Source organism: Homo sapiens, chromosome 6, assembly GCF_000001405.40.
Source record: "Homo sapiens chromosome 6, GRCh38.p14 Primary Assembly".
In the NCBI taxonomy this organism is placed as follows: Eukaryota; Metazoa; Chordata; class Mammalia; order Primates; family Hominidae; genus Homo; species Homo sapiens.
The window spans coordinates 46,598,753-46,617,272 of record NC_000006.12 but is presented as its reverse complement, the minus strand read 5'-3'; the positions used below and the strand labels follow the sequence as shown (position 1 = coordinate 46,617,272).

General features: G+C 37.7%; 1 protein-coding gene across 11 annotated transcripts in view, besides 1 other annotated feature; it reads left to right on the top strand.

Annotated features, from left to right (window-relative positions):
* CYP39A1 (cytochrome P450 family 39 subfamily A member 1) overlaps positions 1-18,520 on the top strand; it is a 103,239-nt gene that overhangs the window by 35,546 nt on the left and 49,173 nt on the right. The gene's annotated exons all lie outside the window — the stretch shown is intronic.
* Positions 12,084-12,133: an enhancer, noted in NCBI's record as "active region_24652". NCBI's record gives its function as "activates an Ori minimal core promoter by ATAC-STARR-seq in GM12878 lymphoblastoid cells {active_cell/tissue: GM12878}" and the evidence as "EXISTENCE:reporter gene assay evidence [ECO:0000049][PMID:35858748]".

Genomic DNA, 18,520 nt, shown 5'->3' with positions numbered 1-18,520 from the left:
CATATAAGTAAACTTATAGATTAGAGAAAAACATTTTCTAAGCCATTCACCTCATTTTTGATTCAAAAAATATGACTACCATATTTATAACCCAGTTGTTTTCCAAAACAATATGATGTGTCTGCCAAGACAATAGAATTACCCAAAGAAATTAAGGGCCACTTAACCAGGGCACTTTAACCAGAGCGATGGTCTGTAGTTTATGTAGACAATCATCTTTACTTGTTGCATACCTATACCTTCTTCTGACCAAGGCCACCTGGACATGTAGATCCCAACCCCCCTAATTACCTCTAAGATTTTGTTCCATTGATCGATCGCCAATCTCTTGGTGGGTTCAACTTCTCTTTCTCCACTGGCTCTTTTCTCTCTCTCTGTCAGATTGTGGTATTCAGTGCACACATCCAGTGACCTCACATCTCACTCAGAATGAAATCTAAAGCCTTCAAATGGCCTCAGAGACTCTTTGTCATCTGATTCCTGTCTAACTCAACGACCTCATCTCTGCCCTTTCATCCTTGTTTATTTTACCCCAGCCACACCCATTCATTTATTAATTCAGCAAATATTTGTTGCACTCCCGTTATATGACAGGGACTGCTTTAGGAACTTGGAAATATGAACAAAGTAAATATTACTTTTTTCTTGGTGCTTACATTCTTGTAGAGGATACAGACAATTAACAATAAATGTAATACATAAGTAAACTCTAAAAGTAAAAATATTAAAAGGTGATAAATGGGTGGGCATGATGGCTCATGCCTATAATTCCAGAGCTTTGGGATTGCTTGATGCATTCAAGACCATCCTGGGTAATATAATGAGGCTCCATCTCTTAAAAAAATTGTTAGCTGGGCATGGTGCCATGCACCTGTGGTTCTAGCTACTCAGGAGGCTGAGGTGGGAGGATTGACCTGAGTCCAGGAATTCAAAGTTGCAGTGAGCTAAGTTTGCTCCATTGCACTCCAGGCTGGGCAACAGAGCAAGATGAAGGAAGGAAGGAAGGAAGGAAGAAAGGAAGGAAGGAAGGGAGGGAGGGAGGGAGGGAGGGAGGGAGGGAGGGAGGGAGGGAGGGAGGGAAAGAAGAAAGAAAGAAAGAAAGAAAGAAAAAAGAAAGAAAGAAAGAAAGAAAGAAAGAAAGAAAGAAAGAAAAGAAAGAGAAAGAAAGAAAGGAAAGAAGGGAGGGAGGGATGGAGGGAGGGAAAGAGAGAGAAAAGAAAAGAAAAGAAAGAGGAGGAAAGGAGGGAGGGAGGGGGAGGGAGGGGGGAGGGAGGGAAAGGCTAGAGAAAATCAGGAATGTCAGGGATGGGGGAAGGTGGTATTATAGTATTAAATAGAATCAGTGTAAGCCCTAATTGGCAAAGTGAGATTTGAGCAAGGACTTTAAGATGTTAAGAGTTAGACAAGCAGATATCTAGAGGAAGAGCTGATTGGGGTCAGAGACAGCAGATGTGGCCTCACTGTGGGCTCACAAAACTCTTTGAGATCACCATCATGATGGCATTTCTGTTGGAAGATGTTTGTCCTTTTTTTTTTTTATTCCAGAGGAGAATGTGAGCACATTTCTAAAAAATGGTTAATATTAGGTTGGAAGAAGAGATTCAGGAAAAAGCTTTTCTTTCTTTGTCACATTATTCAAAGCAAAATTTGATTCAACTCTCAATGCGTGGATTTTTAAATAAAAAAAAGAGGATGAGCATTTGGTTTTGATTCAGAAAATATGACTACCATTCAGAAAATATGACACCAGTACACAGGTGTTCTAGTTAATTATTGCACTGTTTTAAAAAACTGTCATTAGACAAGTTTGAAGTATCATGAGAAAGGTGGGGAGATATCATTGTACTTAGTCTGCTTTTATAGAGTCTTTAAGCGAGGGGTCACTAGCCTGGGAATAGACAAGGAGTGTATTTGTATATATACACACAGACATGTGCATATATAAATATATGTTATGTTTATAAAAAGGTATATAGTTATAGTTATAAAATGTATTTATATTTATAAAAATATATGTTCATAATGATATAATATATTTTTTATACTCATATATATTATTTACAAACACACATATTGATACGTATCCATTTTTGGCCACGCAAAATCTGAACCCTATGTTTCAACAGAAACTTGCCTACCATAGTGGGCAGAAAAATGCTAGATTTTTGTTTTCCTTGCCTTCCTTGAAACTAGGATATTACCATGAAAATAAGACTTTGCCATTCAGATCTACCAACCCAAGACTTTGAATCAAGAGTTACTGAAATAAAGAAATGGAGACTAAAAAATTTTCCCTGGAAGCAACTGCAGGTATTGCAGGATGAAGTTTCTGGGGACACAGCGTCATTCAGTATCCTATGCCAGTGGCCACAATGCACTTGACATCAGTGGCAGTGTCATGCTTGCCAGACCAGTTCTGTGGCCTGATTTGGAGCAAGATTCCTGGCTATGCATCCTTCAAGCCTGGTTGTCCAGCCCTCTTAAAAGTTACATAAACTACTTAACAAACTTTTAATAAATTATTATTATTTTACTAAATCAGCTAGGTTTAGTTTCTGCTGCTTGCCTCTAACAGATCTTGCTGATAAAATATAGAAAGTGTAATGATCAGAATGTCCAATATGGAGAAAAAAGTAGAAGTGACAAAGTCAGCTATCAGGAAAAGTGAATGGAGCCAAAGGAGAAAATGAGCATACTCTCCTGTGGTGGTATAAGGGGTAAGATGAAGAAGAAAAGACACATCTATCCAGATTTTATGCTGTGATCAATGTACAGTGGACTTTTTACATTGGAAATGTCTGTAGGAAGCAGAAAGTCAGGTGAAAAGAGAACTGTGAAAGCCATGAATCCAGCCGGTTCTTGTGTGATGGAAACTCGGAAGGACTAGGGATATACTTCCATGACACCTCTCCTCTTTGTATGTCCTCTCTAAATATGGTAAATCAAGTTATTTGGCTGGTGCAAAAGTAATGGTGGTGTTTGCCATTAGTTTATTTACCTTATTTAGAGAGGATGTATAAAGAGGAGAAGATGTAATGGCTTCCATCACCACTGAGACATTTCTTCCTCCTGTAGAGTTTTATGTATTCTCAATATGGTGAATATTATTGTATCCACAGAGCTGAAGAATAAAGTTATCTATCTTTTTACTTTGACATTAAGCTATTTAGTATCACAGATTCCATTTTATTTATTTAAATATTTACATTTTAATTTGTTTAAGGAGGATTTCATCAGCCTACCATTATGGTTTACCTTTCTATTTTAATTAAAATATAATTTTATTTAAATATTTAGAGTACATATTTAGATGTGGTGGGTTTTTTTTTTTTTGCTTCTTTGTGTTTTGTTTTTTTCAAAATAACTACTAAAGTAATACCAGATTGTAAAAGATTAATTGACAGCGTAAGTACTCACACTTATGGGTAACTGACCTAAAGCAATCAAAGACATTAATGTTTAGCTCCTGTGTAGGCTGTGTTATAAAGTAATTTTCATTTCTAATTCAGGGCTCCCACTGTGAGAATCTGCCCATCAATAGAGGCTCATTCTTTCCTAAAAAAAAAAACAAACAAATAAAAATGTGCTGGAATTTTTTTCACTTTTGCATTTGACTTTTCCACCTATGCTTTTTAACATAGGATAGCATACACATGCACCCATTTTATTTTATTTTTTTGCTGATCAGTTTTACTTTGCCTTTATTTAAACAATAAATTAATAAACATTTTCTGTTAATTTGCAAGGAACCAGATTAATTAATAGAAATGCACCTGCATAGAAATGATTCCTATTTTACATAAAAGTCATGATTTATGCATCATAAAAGGCACATACAGAATTTTCATTGGATTAGAGAGTTAGCAGTTGGATTCATGAATTTCAATCTTGTCACTCACTAATTGTGTGATTGTGGATGAAAGAGAAACCTTGCTCAGAGCCAATCAACAGTGGTTTTTGGTACCACTGTGTTTTGATTTAGCAGCAATCCTGACTAGGGATATACCAACACTGTGGGATGGCCAGCGTCTGTTACCTGGTGACATTGACTTAGGTAGCTACACGTTATACACTGGTGAGGAAAGCGTCTGACTCTTCTCATAAATACAAACAAGTATAAACACTAGTAAAGTGAAAAGTGATATTCTAGGTAAACTCCATATTGTCTGCTTTATTTTAATTAGTTGATTAGTTTTACTTTATTGCATTTAAGCATCTGTATTTATTCTTGAAATCTTATATATTGTCATTGTTTACCCATATTATAACTTGTATGCAGCTTCCCTTCACTTGGGTGTGTCTCAGCACCATCTTGCCAACCAATAACAACCTTCTTGGAGGACTCCATCATGGCATATTGTAGACCTGAGTCCCTTCAGTGAACTTAAGCTCATGCTCACTACCCAACTGCAGCCTGCCAGGGCCCAATGGCTGATGGCCAAAGTTGTGTCTGTGACAGATTCTTGGCCCCTTGTGCGATGCATTGCCCAAAATAATGAAGAAAGAGATCAAGGAGCAGAGCCAAGGACGCTCCAGTGGAATTGTGAACAGAAGGAAGTTATTTTATTTTAAAAAATTATCTCCATTCCCACCAGTAGCCTGACATTATGAACCTAACACAGAGATTCGGGAGGCTATAGCTTATCATGCAGGAAATTTCTCACATAGCCTCATTTACCTTTGCTAGCCTAGCTTTTAAAATCCAAGAATGGACCCAGGAAATTGTAGATTATGGAGGAGCTTCTTACAAACTACTTCTCATTTATCAACCTTGAAGACCACATATAGATTACTTAAAAAAGTATTTATAAATGCAAGAAAGTTCATTTGAAACTATTCTTTCTACCCCAAATATACAGTTTGGCTATCTTCTTATTCCCTTGGCCTTGAAGATCAGGATGATGTCATTTTGGAACTCATAACTTGTGATTTTCCTATCTACTAACCTAGCCATAATGACTAGGGTGAGACTTGCATGTCTAATACCTGGCCCAGGAGAGATTTCTCAGGAAGCTTTATTTCTTCCACTGTTTTCTACCTTTAATACCCAAAGTGGGTCTTGTGATACCCTAGCTCAAGAGATTTTGTGTGAAGTCACTCTCTCCTTTTTCATTGCTTAGCTTCAGTGGCTGAAAGAGATGCCTCTGATAGCTGTAGATTATTTGATATCCCTGTTCATATTTATAAGCTTGGAGATAGGTTCTACTCTGGTGCCTCTCATTTTAAATCTTTCACTATCTTATTCTGGGGCAGCACTGTTGATCTGCTTTATTTGTTCTCTACATTTTTTCATTTAGACACAATTCTTTCTTCAGAGCATTCTGTTGGTGAATTTTTCAAACATTTGGATAATCTTTTTTTTATTCTTTAGGAAATACTAAGGTAAAAACTATTAAAGTCAGGCTGACATCTCTCCAGAGAACATAAACCAAAAATTTGGACTCAGACTCAGTACACTGGCTTTATACATAAGGGTATTTCTAGATCAAAATTTATTTCACATATTATTATCTACCCACTGTTATCTTCTTTAGGCAATATTCTCTCCCTTTTATTTATCATGTATTGGACTATATCCTTTATTCCTTGAAAAAAAATCATGATTATGAGGCATGCTCCATTTTTGTCCTCCAGTAGTTAGAGAAATTGATAATCTCTTTTTTAAAATATGAGAGAAGCACTTCTTAAAATAACACCAAATATTATTTTTCAGAGTAGAATCTTATATGGTTGACTTGGTATAGTGGCATTGAACTTCTTTTGACATGATAGAATGGGATTTGGGATATTTAATATGTGCACGTACTGATGGAAGAAAGAGTTGGGAGGGTCAGCCTGTCAATTCTCCTTATCTTCCATTGGATGTAATAACCTGTTCTCAGAAACGTTGCAGTCAGTCCTTCATATCTTTCGCACTCCATTGTTATCACTGCCTTTTCCAGGCTTTGCCTATTGTTATGAATGTCAAACTGAAACAGCTGAGCAGGATCTACTTCCAAAAGGTTATTACTTGTAATTTTTCAATAGGAATATGTCTTTGATAATAAAATCTTATCCTAAATCCTTCACATGCCAAAAGGCCATATCCATCCTTGTAAAAGTCAGAACTAGAGCTGAAGGCCAGAAATGACTGAGATGCTTGGAAGAAGCTGGTGGCTGGAGGAGGAGAGTAGAAACATGTGTGGTTTGCCAGGCTACTGCTACAATCCCTGAGGCCCCAGTGCTCATATTCCCAGAGTCCATGGACAATCTCTAGGCTTATTATTTGCTTTCCCCAGTCTGTATTCACCACAGATACTTTAAGCTGCTTTTTAAGCCTTCCTTCTCATGTTACATCTCTCCTTCCTATTCATTTAACTGGTATTTCTCTTGCATAAAGAAATCAGACTGGGGCAGGACCTATATGGAGGAAACTACAAGATTTTTAAAATATGTATGTTTTAAAACAATCTAAATAAAGAAAAAGGCATATCACCTTCCTGGATGGGAAGATTTAATATGAAAATACACTTTTCAGATTACTGTACATATAATGAGAATTCCATTTTTGGGGGAGTGTAGTTAGCTAAATGATTTAAAACTATATAGAAAAATAACTGTGATTATAAATAAAAATTATTAGAAATGTGACCAGGTGCCGTGGCTCACACCTGTAATCCCGGCACTTTGGGAGACTGAGATGGGAGGATGGCTTGAGACCAGGAGTTTGAGACCAGCCTGGGCAACATAGTGAGATTGTCTCTATGAAAATTAAAAAATAAAATTTAGTCGGATGTGGTGGCATGCATCTGTAGTCCCAGCTACTTGGGATGCTGAGGTGGGAGGATCACTTGAACCCAAGAGTTCGAGGCTGCAGTGATTTATGATAGTGCCACTGCACTCCAGCCTGGGCAACAAAGTGAGACCCCATCTCTTTGTATACGTGAAATGTAAATTAGTAAGGCCAGATTCACCCTAATTAAGGCCAGATTTTAATAAGTTATTAAAGCTTATTATAAAACTGCTATAACAAAAGAGTACACAATTGGCACAGGAAAAACAATTGATCCACATAACCCTTGTGTATCTTTTACCAATAAAAATCAACTTTATAATCTTCTCTTTCAAAACTAAAACTGTGGGTAAATAGTTTTTTTAAAAAATTGTTTCACATTGTCAAGACAAAATTTCCCAAACGATCTACATTTGGAAAGAATTAATATTCTAGAAACCTGCACTCAATGGAGAGAACCTATAAAGAATTTGCGGGGATAGCGGTGAGTGAAAAGACATTTAACTTCACAGCTACCATCATGATCTTTCATCTGCTGTCATCCCCTCTTCCTTGAATTTTCTATAATTTGACTTATTATCTTTCCCATAGATATTTTATCTTACACAACATGTATAATAATAAACGTGTGCAATTACAAAAGAGATAAAAGTTTTTTAAGAAACAACAAACCCAAATAGTAAATCATTTTTCTTTGTTAAAGCAATATTTGGGAGGTAATATAGAGTATTGATTTTTATATTGAATTTTTGAAGGGTCTCTCAGCACAGTAAGCTTACAAGTTGCTTGGAATGATAGCACAAGCCTTGTGTGTTAAAGAAGGCTGGAATAGCTTATATTTTACATATGTGTCCTCAGCTCTGGAGCTTCCCTGTGTGGACCTCCTTCTGTTTTTCCTTTCTTCATTTTCAAGAGGTTTCTGTGAGCTCTCTGACTGAGGCAACAAGACATAACTAATCTCCAGGGACCCATTCTACTCTTTTCAAAAAAGATAAATCAATTTTTTTGATGTTAGGAAAATCACATTTACTGTCTACTGATTTTAGGTACCCAATAAATTTCTTTTTTTTCTTTTTTTTTTTTTTTGAGACGGAGTCTCGCTGTCGCCCAGGCTGGAGTGCAGTGGCGCGGACTCAGTGGCGCGGACTCAGCTCACTGCAAGCTCCGCCTCCCGGGTTCACGCCATTCTCTTGCCTCAGCCTCCCGAGTAGCTGGAACTACAGGCACCCGCCACCACGCCCGGCTAATTTTTTTTGTATATTTAGCACAGATGGGGTTTCACAGTGTTAGCCAGGATGGTCTCGATCTTCTGACCTCGTAATCCGCCCACCTCGGCCTCCCGAAGTGCTGGGATTACAGGCGTGAGCCCACGGTGCCTGGCCCTAAAATTGATTTTTCTATTCGGTAATCAAAGATCAGTTTCACACTATTTCCTTTCAAAATTAAAAGAATAATTGTACAAAAGTGTTTATTGTTTTCTCCATTTAGAGACAAGTCAACAAATACTCGTCTCACAAAAAAATTCCCACAAATCTGTAACCAGCCCATTCTCGCTATCTATAAATAACTGTTATAAAGCCTGTTGTAGGCCAGGCACGATGGCTCACGCCTATAATCCCAGCACTTTGGGAGGCCGAGGTGGGTGGATCACCTGAGGTCAGGAGTTCGAGACCAGCCTGGCCAATATAGTGAAACCCCGTCTCTACTAAAAATACATAAATTAGCCGGGTTTGTGGCAAGTGCCTGTAGTCCCAGCTACTCGGGAGGCTGAGGCAGTAGAATTACTTGAATCCAGGAGGCGGAGGTTGCAATCAGCCGAGATTGTGCCACTGCACTCTAGCCTGGGCAACAAGAGTGAGACTCCGTCTCAAAAAAAAAAATAAATAAATAAAATAAAACCTATTGTGAATGGTATTATCTACTTCAGATATTATCACCTCCGTAAGAGTGAGTATATATTTTATTAAAAAATAGATATATAATTTTAAAAAATGGAATTGCTGAACATTACTTTTATTGAAGTTTTAAAAATTCCTGAAATGAAGGGAAGGATGTAAGGGTCTCTTTTTTCCCACTCTAGAATACTGACTATTGTAAAGTTTTATTTATTCTTTATCTTTAGCTTTGTCTCTGTTCTCTAAAAACTGACTTTGTAGAATCTTATCTGGAGGTCTCTGGTTGAGAAAATAAGCCAGAAATCTGAACAGTTACAGTTTTCTGCCCTTATTTTCTCACAGGAATTGTTGTCATTGCTTCATTATTTTTGCATAGAAGTCATACAAATGCTATATATTTTCCAAAACTATTGAATAATTTTCTGAAGTGACAGTATAAACACTAATTTTTTATAATTTGGTTTTTACTTTTTGAAGATATTACTATTGTAAAATTTGAAGAGTAGATGTATTGACCAAATGTTGATAGAAGTCATTGCTGAAGGTTATTGAATCAGTTTGTTTGTTTTTCATCTATTATCTCATGTATATTTATTCCAAGTTCATTCTCCTTCATGTGCACTATGATCTTTTGCACACACTTCAACTTTATATATTTTAAACAAGCTGTTCTAGGAATATGGAAAGGCAGCCTCTGAGAAGGAAAACTTAGTCATGACACAGAGGAGCAAACAGCACTGAGAATTCATGCTTTCAAAAGTAATGAAAGAGGTGGTGAACTGTGTTGGGGTTGCACTCTTTAAATCTTGGAAGGATTTTATTATTTGCATTTTTTTCATCTTTTCATTCTGATTTTCATTCTTGGAGAAGCACAGGGGTTTCCTCAGTATTCAACTCCACTTTGCAACCCCACCTTCTGGTTCAGTCTCCTTGAAATTATGTTTCCAAAGGTCTGAATGAGTTAGTAAATGCCTACCATTCCCCTTCTTTTCTGGCAAAACATGGATTATTTCCCCAAAGTTATTAGTTAAATTTTTAATGAATATTACTTCAAAGCTGTAGAAACAATTATATGTATATTTATTTATTTACTTACTATGTCTGCATGTATGCATGTGTGTGTGTGTGTGTGTGTGTGTGTAGGGGGAAGGGGCTTGAAATATTAAGGAGCTAGAGAAGCCATCTCTCAAAGAAGGACATCCTTTAGTGATTCTATTTGACTCATGTTCTTTTTTTTTTTTTAAGCCCAAGAAATTTTTGTGATTAATTTTGGAATTTAAGTTAGCATTCTTTCTGACTCCAACCCATCCTTCCAGGCTTAGTTGAAATTTCAGCCCTAAGTGAGAAGAGACACTTGAATTCTCTTATATGAAACTTAGAGATATTTATATCCAGGTATTTTTTGTGTGTGTTCTTGTTTCCAGGATCCTTTAAGGCAGTGGCCGTGTGTTTCTCATTCCCTTCTTGTCTTTGAGGAAGCAATGTGGCGTAGTAGCAAGGTTGAAGGCTTTCAGTATAGACAGACATAGGTTTGAAGGCTGCTCTGATACTTTCAAGCTTGTCTCCTTGAACATTTTAACCTCTCTGAGGCTCAGTTAGCTGGCAGATATCTATGAGGAATAAATGAAGTGATCCAAAATATTTGTGACATTAGATGGGCAATAAATTAGTTTTATTTCCTCCCTATCTCTTATAGCACCTATGCTTAGGCTAGCACATAACAGATATGGAGCAAATTTACATTGAGTGAATCAATGGCTAAAGTAATAGAATTTCAATTTGTTATAATTATTAACAAATATAACATATGTAATGTGTTATAATACACATCATTATGAGTATGCAATCCTAAAACTATGTATAATGTTTTATAAACTTTTTTTGCTATTTCTGAACGCAAGAATCATCATTTCTTTTACTTGATTTTCAACATCCTAAGGTTTGCCTTCATCATGTTTATGCCAAGAGTTAAACAGATGGTTTCTGAATTTTAGCCCAAATCACTCAGTTTCTTTATTGGTCTGTCATCTGTACTGGTCCCTGTCTCCATTAGACTGTAGCCCTTTTCATGATTACCTTGGCATTCTTCCAAGTGAAGCCTTCTAATTTTAGAGTCACAATGCTGGAAGAACAAATCACAGATGTGCATTGAAGTATGCACAGTATGGGTACGGAGCTATTTCTAAGAGTCATAGTAAAAAAGGTCTTTTACACTAAAGAATCATTCGAAAACTTAGTGTATTTCCTTTTCTTTTTCTTTGTATGGTCCAAGAATGCTACATTATTTTTCTCACATGACACTGACATTTGAGAAACTAAAAATATTTTATCAAAATATTTATTTTCCAAATGTAGGCTACATCTCTAATACATTTATAGGTCATAATTTTAAATGTTTTCAATTCAAAACAAGCTTCTGTTTCTATATTATTAATATAGAACGTTTTACCCTTTTTAACTTACTAAGAGTACTTTATCCAAAAATGTTTTTCTGAAGGAGGTCAAGAACTTCACCATTACTAGAGTCCAAACTTTTCCAAGACCAGAATTATGCAATATGTAGGTCACTGTGGAGTCTCTTGGATTTTCACAGATCTGATTTCAAACACAAACTGACCGTAGTTGCCACCTATCCTTGGTCAAGTAGAAAGATACTTCTTTTCGGCATCCTATAGCTGCAGTAAAATAAAATAGAAAAAAAGTAGAGGAATTGTTTGATTGATTTGTCCAGTGTAGATGCTGTAAATAGATTTTGAGAGAAAACAAATTTTTTGAAAAGTAAGATCTAGAATTTAAATTGTAAGCTACTGCTAATTTATTTATAATGTCCATTTGTGAAGGGCCCTAGCTTGCTGGAACCACCTTGGTTTTTAAAATAAAGGTAAATTGTTTGGACCCCATCTCAGGTTTCTAATTATCTTTGGAGGGAGAAATGGGAGAGGAGGCAAGAGGTAGAGGCTTGTGTTTTTTCTAGCCTTCTCTTGATTCCTAGTTCCTGCATTTGCTGATTTTGCAATTTCTAAACTCTTTCCCTTCTGCGTGTCTGCCACGTTTTCTGCATTGCATTGCCTCACTGGACATCCTCCAGCTCTTTATTTCCCAAAGTGTTAAGTTAATGTTAGCTGATTTTATTAAAATATTAAAAATATGGGACAAGGAAAGTAAAAATTACATTGCAGTCAGAAACAAAAGTCCTGTCTGCCAAAGAATTTTCCTTGACACTCTACTAGGTTATCAGTGACCTATCATTGAAGCTGGGCCCTCTCTCTTCTTGGAAATCCCCAGCTTTGTCTTCCTTACCTTGCACACTGGCAGCCCCAGTTGCCTTTCACTTCCTGTGCAAAGCTGCTCACTCTCCCTTTGTCTCACCATGGACATTCAGGGGTTCTAACATAGGACTTCATCTTCTCATATATACTGCTAGGCAGTGGTTTTCTTGCTTTCTTTTTCTAGAGTACATTCTAGAAGAAGCTTGTCCAACCTGAGGTCCGCAGGCCACATGTGGCCCAGGATGGCTTTGAGGTTTGTGTTTGACCCAACACAAACTTGTAAAGTTTCTTAAAACATTATGAGATTTTGCATGGACCTTTTTTTTTTTTTTAAGCTCATCAGCTATTGTTAGTGTTAGTATTTTATATGTAGCCCAATGCAATTCTTTCTCCTCCAATGTGGCGCAGGGAAGCCAAAAGATTGGATACCTGTATTCTAGAAGAATTTTGTATCCCCTCATAGATTTTTAAATTGATGTCTAATAGTTGCTATCTTATGTTTAAGTAATTGCAAAGGATATCATTCCTGGTATATTTTCTACATGTTCTTAGTCTATTTAAAATACATATCAAAAGTTACAGGTTTATTATAGTTCACTCAGTTATGAAAAATGGGTGCCATATAACCTAATTCTCAAAGCCAGTTCTTATTACCAAACTAATCATCCAATCCAATTTATCTTCTAACAGAAAAGGTCTGATTTCATTCTTTCAATTCAAATAAACATGTTAATATGTGTTGCTGTGACACTCATCTCACTTTTGAATTCTGATTCGTAGATCATCAGGTGGACAAACATGGTTTGTAAGCAAGGACTAGTGGACAAATAGGTGAAAGAAGACATGTCTGCTTTTGGTATTTCTTTCCTGTGCCTGTTTTACTTTGCTCTCAAGGGCTTTTCCCTTAGGTTCCATGTGTTATCTAATTGCCCTTTTGTTTGGCAGCCAAGAGATGTTTATACCTCAAGGAAAAAGCACTAGAGTAAAAATCGGGATAGCTGAGAGGCAAGATATTCCATCGTAAAGTCAGGAAAAGGTGATTGTATTGGGGAGATGGGAAAAGAGAATTGGGCCACAGTCTTTTATTCAACAGATCAGTTTTAGAAAAGAGTGAATATGGAAGTTGAGTATCAGGGAATTGATTTCCTTAACATTTGCTCTCATGTGCCCTCTGGGTATGTGAATATAATTCGAAGATGATTATAATGTATTCTAAACAAAGACATTTTCCTTATAAAATATAGACTACCTCTCAGGGAAAGAAATTTTCCTTGTAAAATATAGACTACCTCTTAGGGAAAGCATATTGTAAAATAAGCATATTTTACAGGGTTATCCAGATACTATGCTAGGCATTGTATACTTGACTTGGTTATATAAATGATATGTACAGCGAAGACTACATAGAATTTATAGTATTGTAAAATTCAAATGCTGGAATAAAATCTGGACTTCTAAGCAATAGGAAGTACAATGAGGAGCAAACCAGTAGCTTGTCCCCTTGATGTCCCCTAGGCAGGGGCAAACTTTTTCTATATAAGGCAGAGAGTAAATACATAGCCTTTATGGAACATAAGGTCTCTTTCACCACTCTGCTATTGTAGTGTGAAAACAGCCATAGACGTGTAAACGAGTGAGTAAACCAAAAAGTGTCTGAGACAGGTCTCAATCAATTTAGAGGTTTATTTTGCCAAGGTTAAGGATGTGCCCGGGAAAAAGGAATACAAAACCACAGGGACATTTGTGAGTCCTGCTTTTTCCAAAGAGAGTTTGGGGACTTCCATGTTCAAAGGAGGAAGAACAGGCAGTGGGGGAAAGAGGAAGGGGAGAAAAAAGGAAGGAGGGTAGATAAAAGGGGCAAATGCTTGCATTCTTTTGGGTCTTTGATCAGTGTTCACTGAATCCACATTTTACATGTGAAAGAGGTGATAGAGGAATAGTCAACTGTATATTCATCTAGCCCACAGAAAATGGTCAATTTATATAAGTAAACATAGAGTAGCTACCTGTGGAGACCTCTGGCCTTCTATCTGTAGCTATTTGCTTAGGAACAAAAGGAAAGGCAGTTCCAGCTTAATATTTCCCTTTGGCATAGTGAATTTGTGGTCCTGAGATTTTATTTTTCTTTCACATTTCCAATAAAACTTCATTTACAAAGTCAAGCAGTGAGCTGGATTTGGTCTGTTGGCCATAATTTGCCAACTCATACCCTATGCTATGGCTGCATACAGGGGAGAAGGAGAATAGGGTCCAATATATGTGGCTGCATGTAAGCTCCAGACTTTTGTAGGTGTAAAAATGATATAATTTTGAACCATTTATGAAATCCTGGCCAGTTAAAAATTCAATCATAATTGATCATCACATTATTTAGTTTTATTGTTCAGAAGAAGAAATAAAGCTCCCCCCCCCCATTTTATATTTAGTGGCTTTCAGTGTCAATATATCCAGTCAGGATTTCTGATTCAAATCATAATTTTTACCCACTAAGTGTATTTACCTACATTTTATAAAATAGAAAAGATAATTTAAAAATTGGCAATAATAACTGCTTTAAGCCTAGACTATCTAATAATAAAATCCAAGGATGTCTTCTACCTCTTTTAATTCAGCACTGTGGTTCTTTTTTTTTTTTTTTTTTTTTTTTGAGACGTGCACCACCACACCCAGCTGATTTTGTATTTTTAGTAGAGACGGGGTTTCTCTGTGTTGGTCAGGCTGGTCTTGAACTCCTGACTTCAGGTGACCCACCCACCTCGGCCTCCCAAAGTGCTGGGAATACAGGCATGAGCTACCACGCCCAGTCCAGCACTGTGGTTCTTAGAGTGTGGTACCTGGACCAAGAGCATCAGTATCACCTGGAAATTTTCCAGAAATGCAAACTCTTGGGCCCCACATCCAACCTATTGAATCAGAAACTTTTGGATCCCTGCAATCTGTGTTTTCACAAGCCTTCCACGTGATGCTGATGCATGCTTAAGATTTGAGAACCACTTCTCTAGTATATATCAGGTTTTTACTAACTCTTTTTTACTTAAAGATTTTTACATTCTCCCTCAGAAACGTCTTTCAAATTTGACTTCTCTACATACCTCCCATTGCTGTTACACAAATTAAAAGCTTCCTAATTAACCTCACCTTCCACCATTTTAGACATGCATTCATCCATCCATCCATCCATCCATCCATTCATTTATTCAATAAAAATATATAGAGTACCTACTGTATGCTGGACACTGTGTTAGATACTGGATATACATCGAAGAACAGATCTAACAAGATTCTGAAACACATGTAATCACATCCTATTTGGGGGATCCCGGGTTATTTTATATATTAATAGGAACTATAAGGGAAATAAAATGAAATAATAGTGATTAGGGAGATGTTAGTTGGGGTGGCCAGGAAAGGGTTTCTGCAGAGGAGAATTTCTAGCTGAGAGCTAAAAGGTGAAAGGGATCCAGCCTTTCAAACAGTTGGAAAAGGCAGAGGAAATAATAATAATAAGTAACCTGAGGACGGGCATGGTGGCTCACGCCTGTAATCCCAACACTTTGGGAGGCTGAGATGGGCGGATCACCTGAGGTCAGGAGTTGGAGACTAGCCTGGCCAACATGGTGAAACCCTGTCTCTAAATAATAATAATAATAATAATAATAATAATAATAATAGGTAACCTGAGATTTTGCCACATGCCAATTATAGTGGTAAGCGCTTTACACGTATTAACACTTTTAATCCTGACAGCAACCTTGTGGGCACGTACTTTCTGTATTTCCATTTTATATGTAAGCAAACTGAGGCATAGAGAGGTTGGATAATTTACAAAGGTCACATAGCCTCTAGGATTCAGTGTGAGATGGGACTAGAGGGATAGATACGGCTTTATTTGCCAAAGTGAGAATGTTGGATTTAATTCTAAATGGTATTGAAGCCATTCGTGGGTCCTGAGACGGTACTGACTTGGTCTTATTTACAAAGGGGTTGTAGAGGAGCCAGGTGGGAGTAGGAAGCATGATGAAGGCTGTCACCCTGGACCAGGTGAGAAATATTCACGGCTTGGACAAGAGTGGTAGCAATGGAGATGGAATGATGTGGATGGAAGTAGGATTTAGTTTGCAAATAAAAACAAATTTTGCTGATTGTTTAAGGGAGTTAAAGGGAAAGGAAGGACAAAGGAAAACTGTTTCTCTACACACAACACTTCTGACACCAAATGTGTGGGTTTTCCACACCAAACAATTCTCCAGTTCTCTTCAGATATCAACTGGGTGTCCTAGAACTTAATTCAATTCTGACACTAACTGCATGACATTATCACAGACCCACAGGTTAGGGGCTCAGTCCCGCAAGACTCTCCCCAACTTCAGATGCCCATTGAAATTAGTACAGCCCCAGGTTATTCACACTTCTGTCCAACTTGTCTACAAATCGGGAGTTTTCCACAACCACCTCTCTAGATTCGATAATTTGTTGTAAGGGCTCACAGAACTCAGGGAAACACTATGCTTACTATTTCTGGTTCATTACAAAGGATATTAGAAACTATACACATGAATAGCCAGATGAGGAAGCACATAGGGCAAGGTTTGGAAGAGTCCCAAGCATAGGAGCTTCTTTCTCTGAAGTTGGGTGTGTTACCCTCCGGCACATGCATGTGTTCACCAACCCAGAAGCTCTTTGAACCCCTTTATTGAGGGATTTTATGGAAGTTACAGTACAAAGGCATGATTGATTAATTCATTCTCCATTGGTGACTAGCTGAATCCCCAGCCCACCTCCCTTCCCCAGAGGCTGGGGAATGGGGCTGGCAGTTCCAATCCTCTCATCTCATGGTTGGTTCCTTTGACAACTAGCCCCTAATTTCCAAGAGTCACTTCATTAGCATAGTCAGGTGTAATCGAAAGGGGCTTATTTGCTGGGCAGGGTGGCTCACACCTGTAATACCAACACTTTTGAAGGCTGAGGTGGGCAGATCACTAGAGGTCAGGATTTCAAGACCAGCCTGGCCAACATGGCAACACCCCATCTCTACTAAAAATACAAAAAAATAGCTGGGTGTAGTGGCACTTGCTGGTAATCCCAGCAACTCAGGAGGCTGAATCGCTTGAACCTGGGAGTCAGAGGTTGTAGTGAGCCAAGATCGCTCCACTGCACTCCAACTTGGGTAACAGAGCGAGTCTCCATGTCAAAAAAAAGAAAAGAAAAAAGAAAAGAAAAGAAAAGAAAGGGGCTTATTATGTATGAATACCAAAAGATGCTCCTCTCTCCCCTATCATTCAAGAAATTGCAAAGGTTTTAGGAGATCTGTGTTAGGAACCACAGACCAAATATATATTTATTATATCACAATATCAAACAGAATTATCATGGATGATTTTTAGGTTTGAACTTGAGCAGCTGGGCAAACATTGTTACCATTTTCTGCGATGGCAAGACCAAGGGAAGAAAGGCTTTATTTCAGTGGGGCAAGTGAAGAGTTCTGTGTAGGCCAGTGTTGCTTTGAGATGCCTTTTAGACCTGCAAACAAAGCCAATGAGAAGCCAGCTGGATAACAATAATCTGGAGCTCACAAAAGGGATGAAGGCAAAAAATGTTATTGTGGGTGTCACTAGCCCACTGATGGTATTTTATAGAAAAGGGTTTGTTTGAGTCCCCCAGGAGGATAATGTAGAGAAGAGAAGAGGGCCCAGAACTGACACCTGGCAGTCTTGGGGTACATTCAGAAGTTGGATAGCGGGAAAGATACCTCCTGTCATCTCTGGATTCATCTGGTATGAGCAGACTGGAACCTCAGTGGAACACCCTTGGAAGAGAGGGTGGATCCATTACCAAACCGCCAAGAACCAGTGCGACAGCTTGTTCTGATCTGCATCTACAGTTGATTGACCTAGTCACTTGCTACACCAGACTCTATTTCACACTGAATTCCTGTTATCTGAACATGCTCTTTATTTTTGTGTATCTGATTTTTTCTTCAGATTTTTTTCTTCTGAAAAGCCTCTCTGACACCTCCCTCCCCCGTCTGGTCACTGTCACCGCTGTGCTCCTATAGCGAGTTGCACACTTTAATGTGATAGCGCTTATTGCATTAACCACTTTTAGTTCTCTGTCTTCTCTATCAGACTATTCAGAGCCAGAGACATGACCTACATCTTCATACTCAGCACTTGCAAACTACCTGTAGGGTCTCAGTCTCTGCAGATATCTACTGAACAAATAATGGAAGGAATTCCTCAGACCTGGCCCCCAATTCGTGTTGCATATGCAACCCCACACGCCAATCTCTAAATTTTCTCCCAATAAAGGTTTCAGGAAAAAGAATAACTTTATTAGCTATGGAGTAAAAGTAGATAGGAAGGTGTGGTTTCTAAAGAGTCATTATTAAATTCGCATTAATAGTAACGGTAATAATAAATAAAAAGTAAATCAGCACCACCTTGTACTGAACACTTAGTACATACCGGGCACTGCTCTAAGTTTGTGTGTCATTCATAAACTAATTCAAAAATTAGAACCTCAGGATTTCTCATTTTAACATTGTCTAGACAAAGCACTTATTCTTTCTTTAATTTTTCATCTTA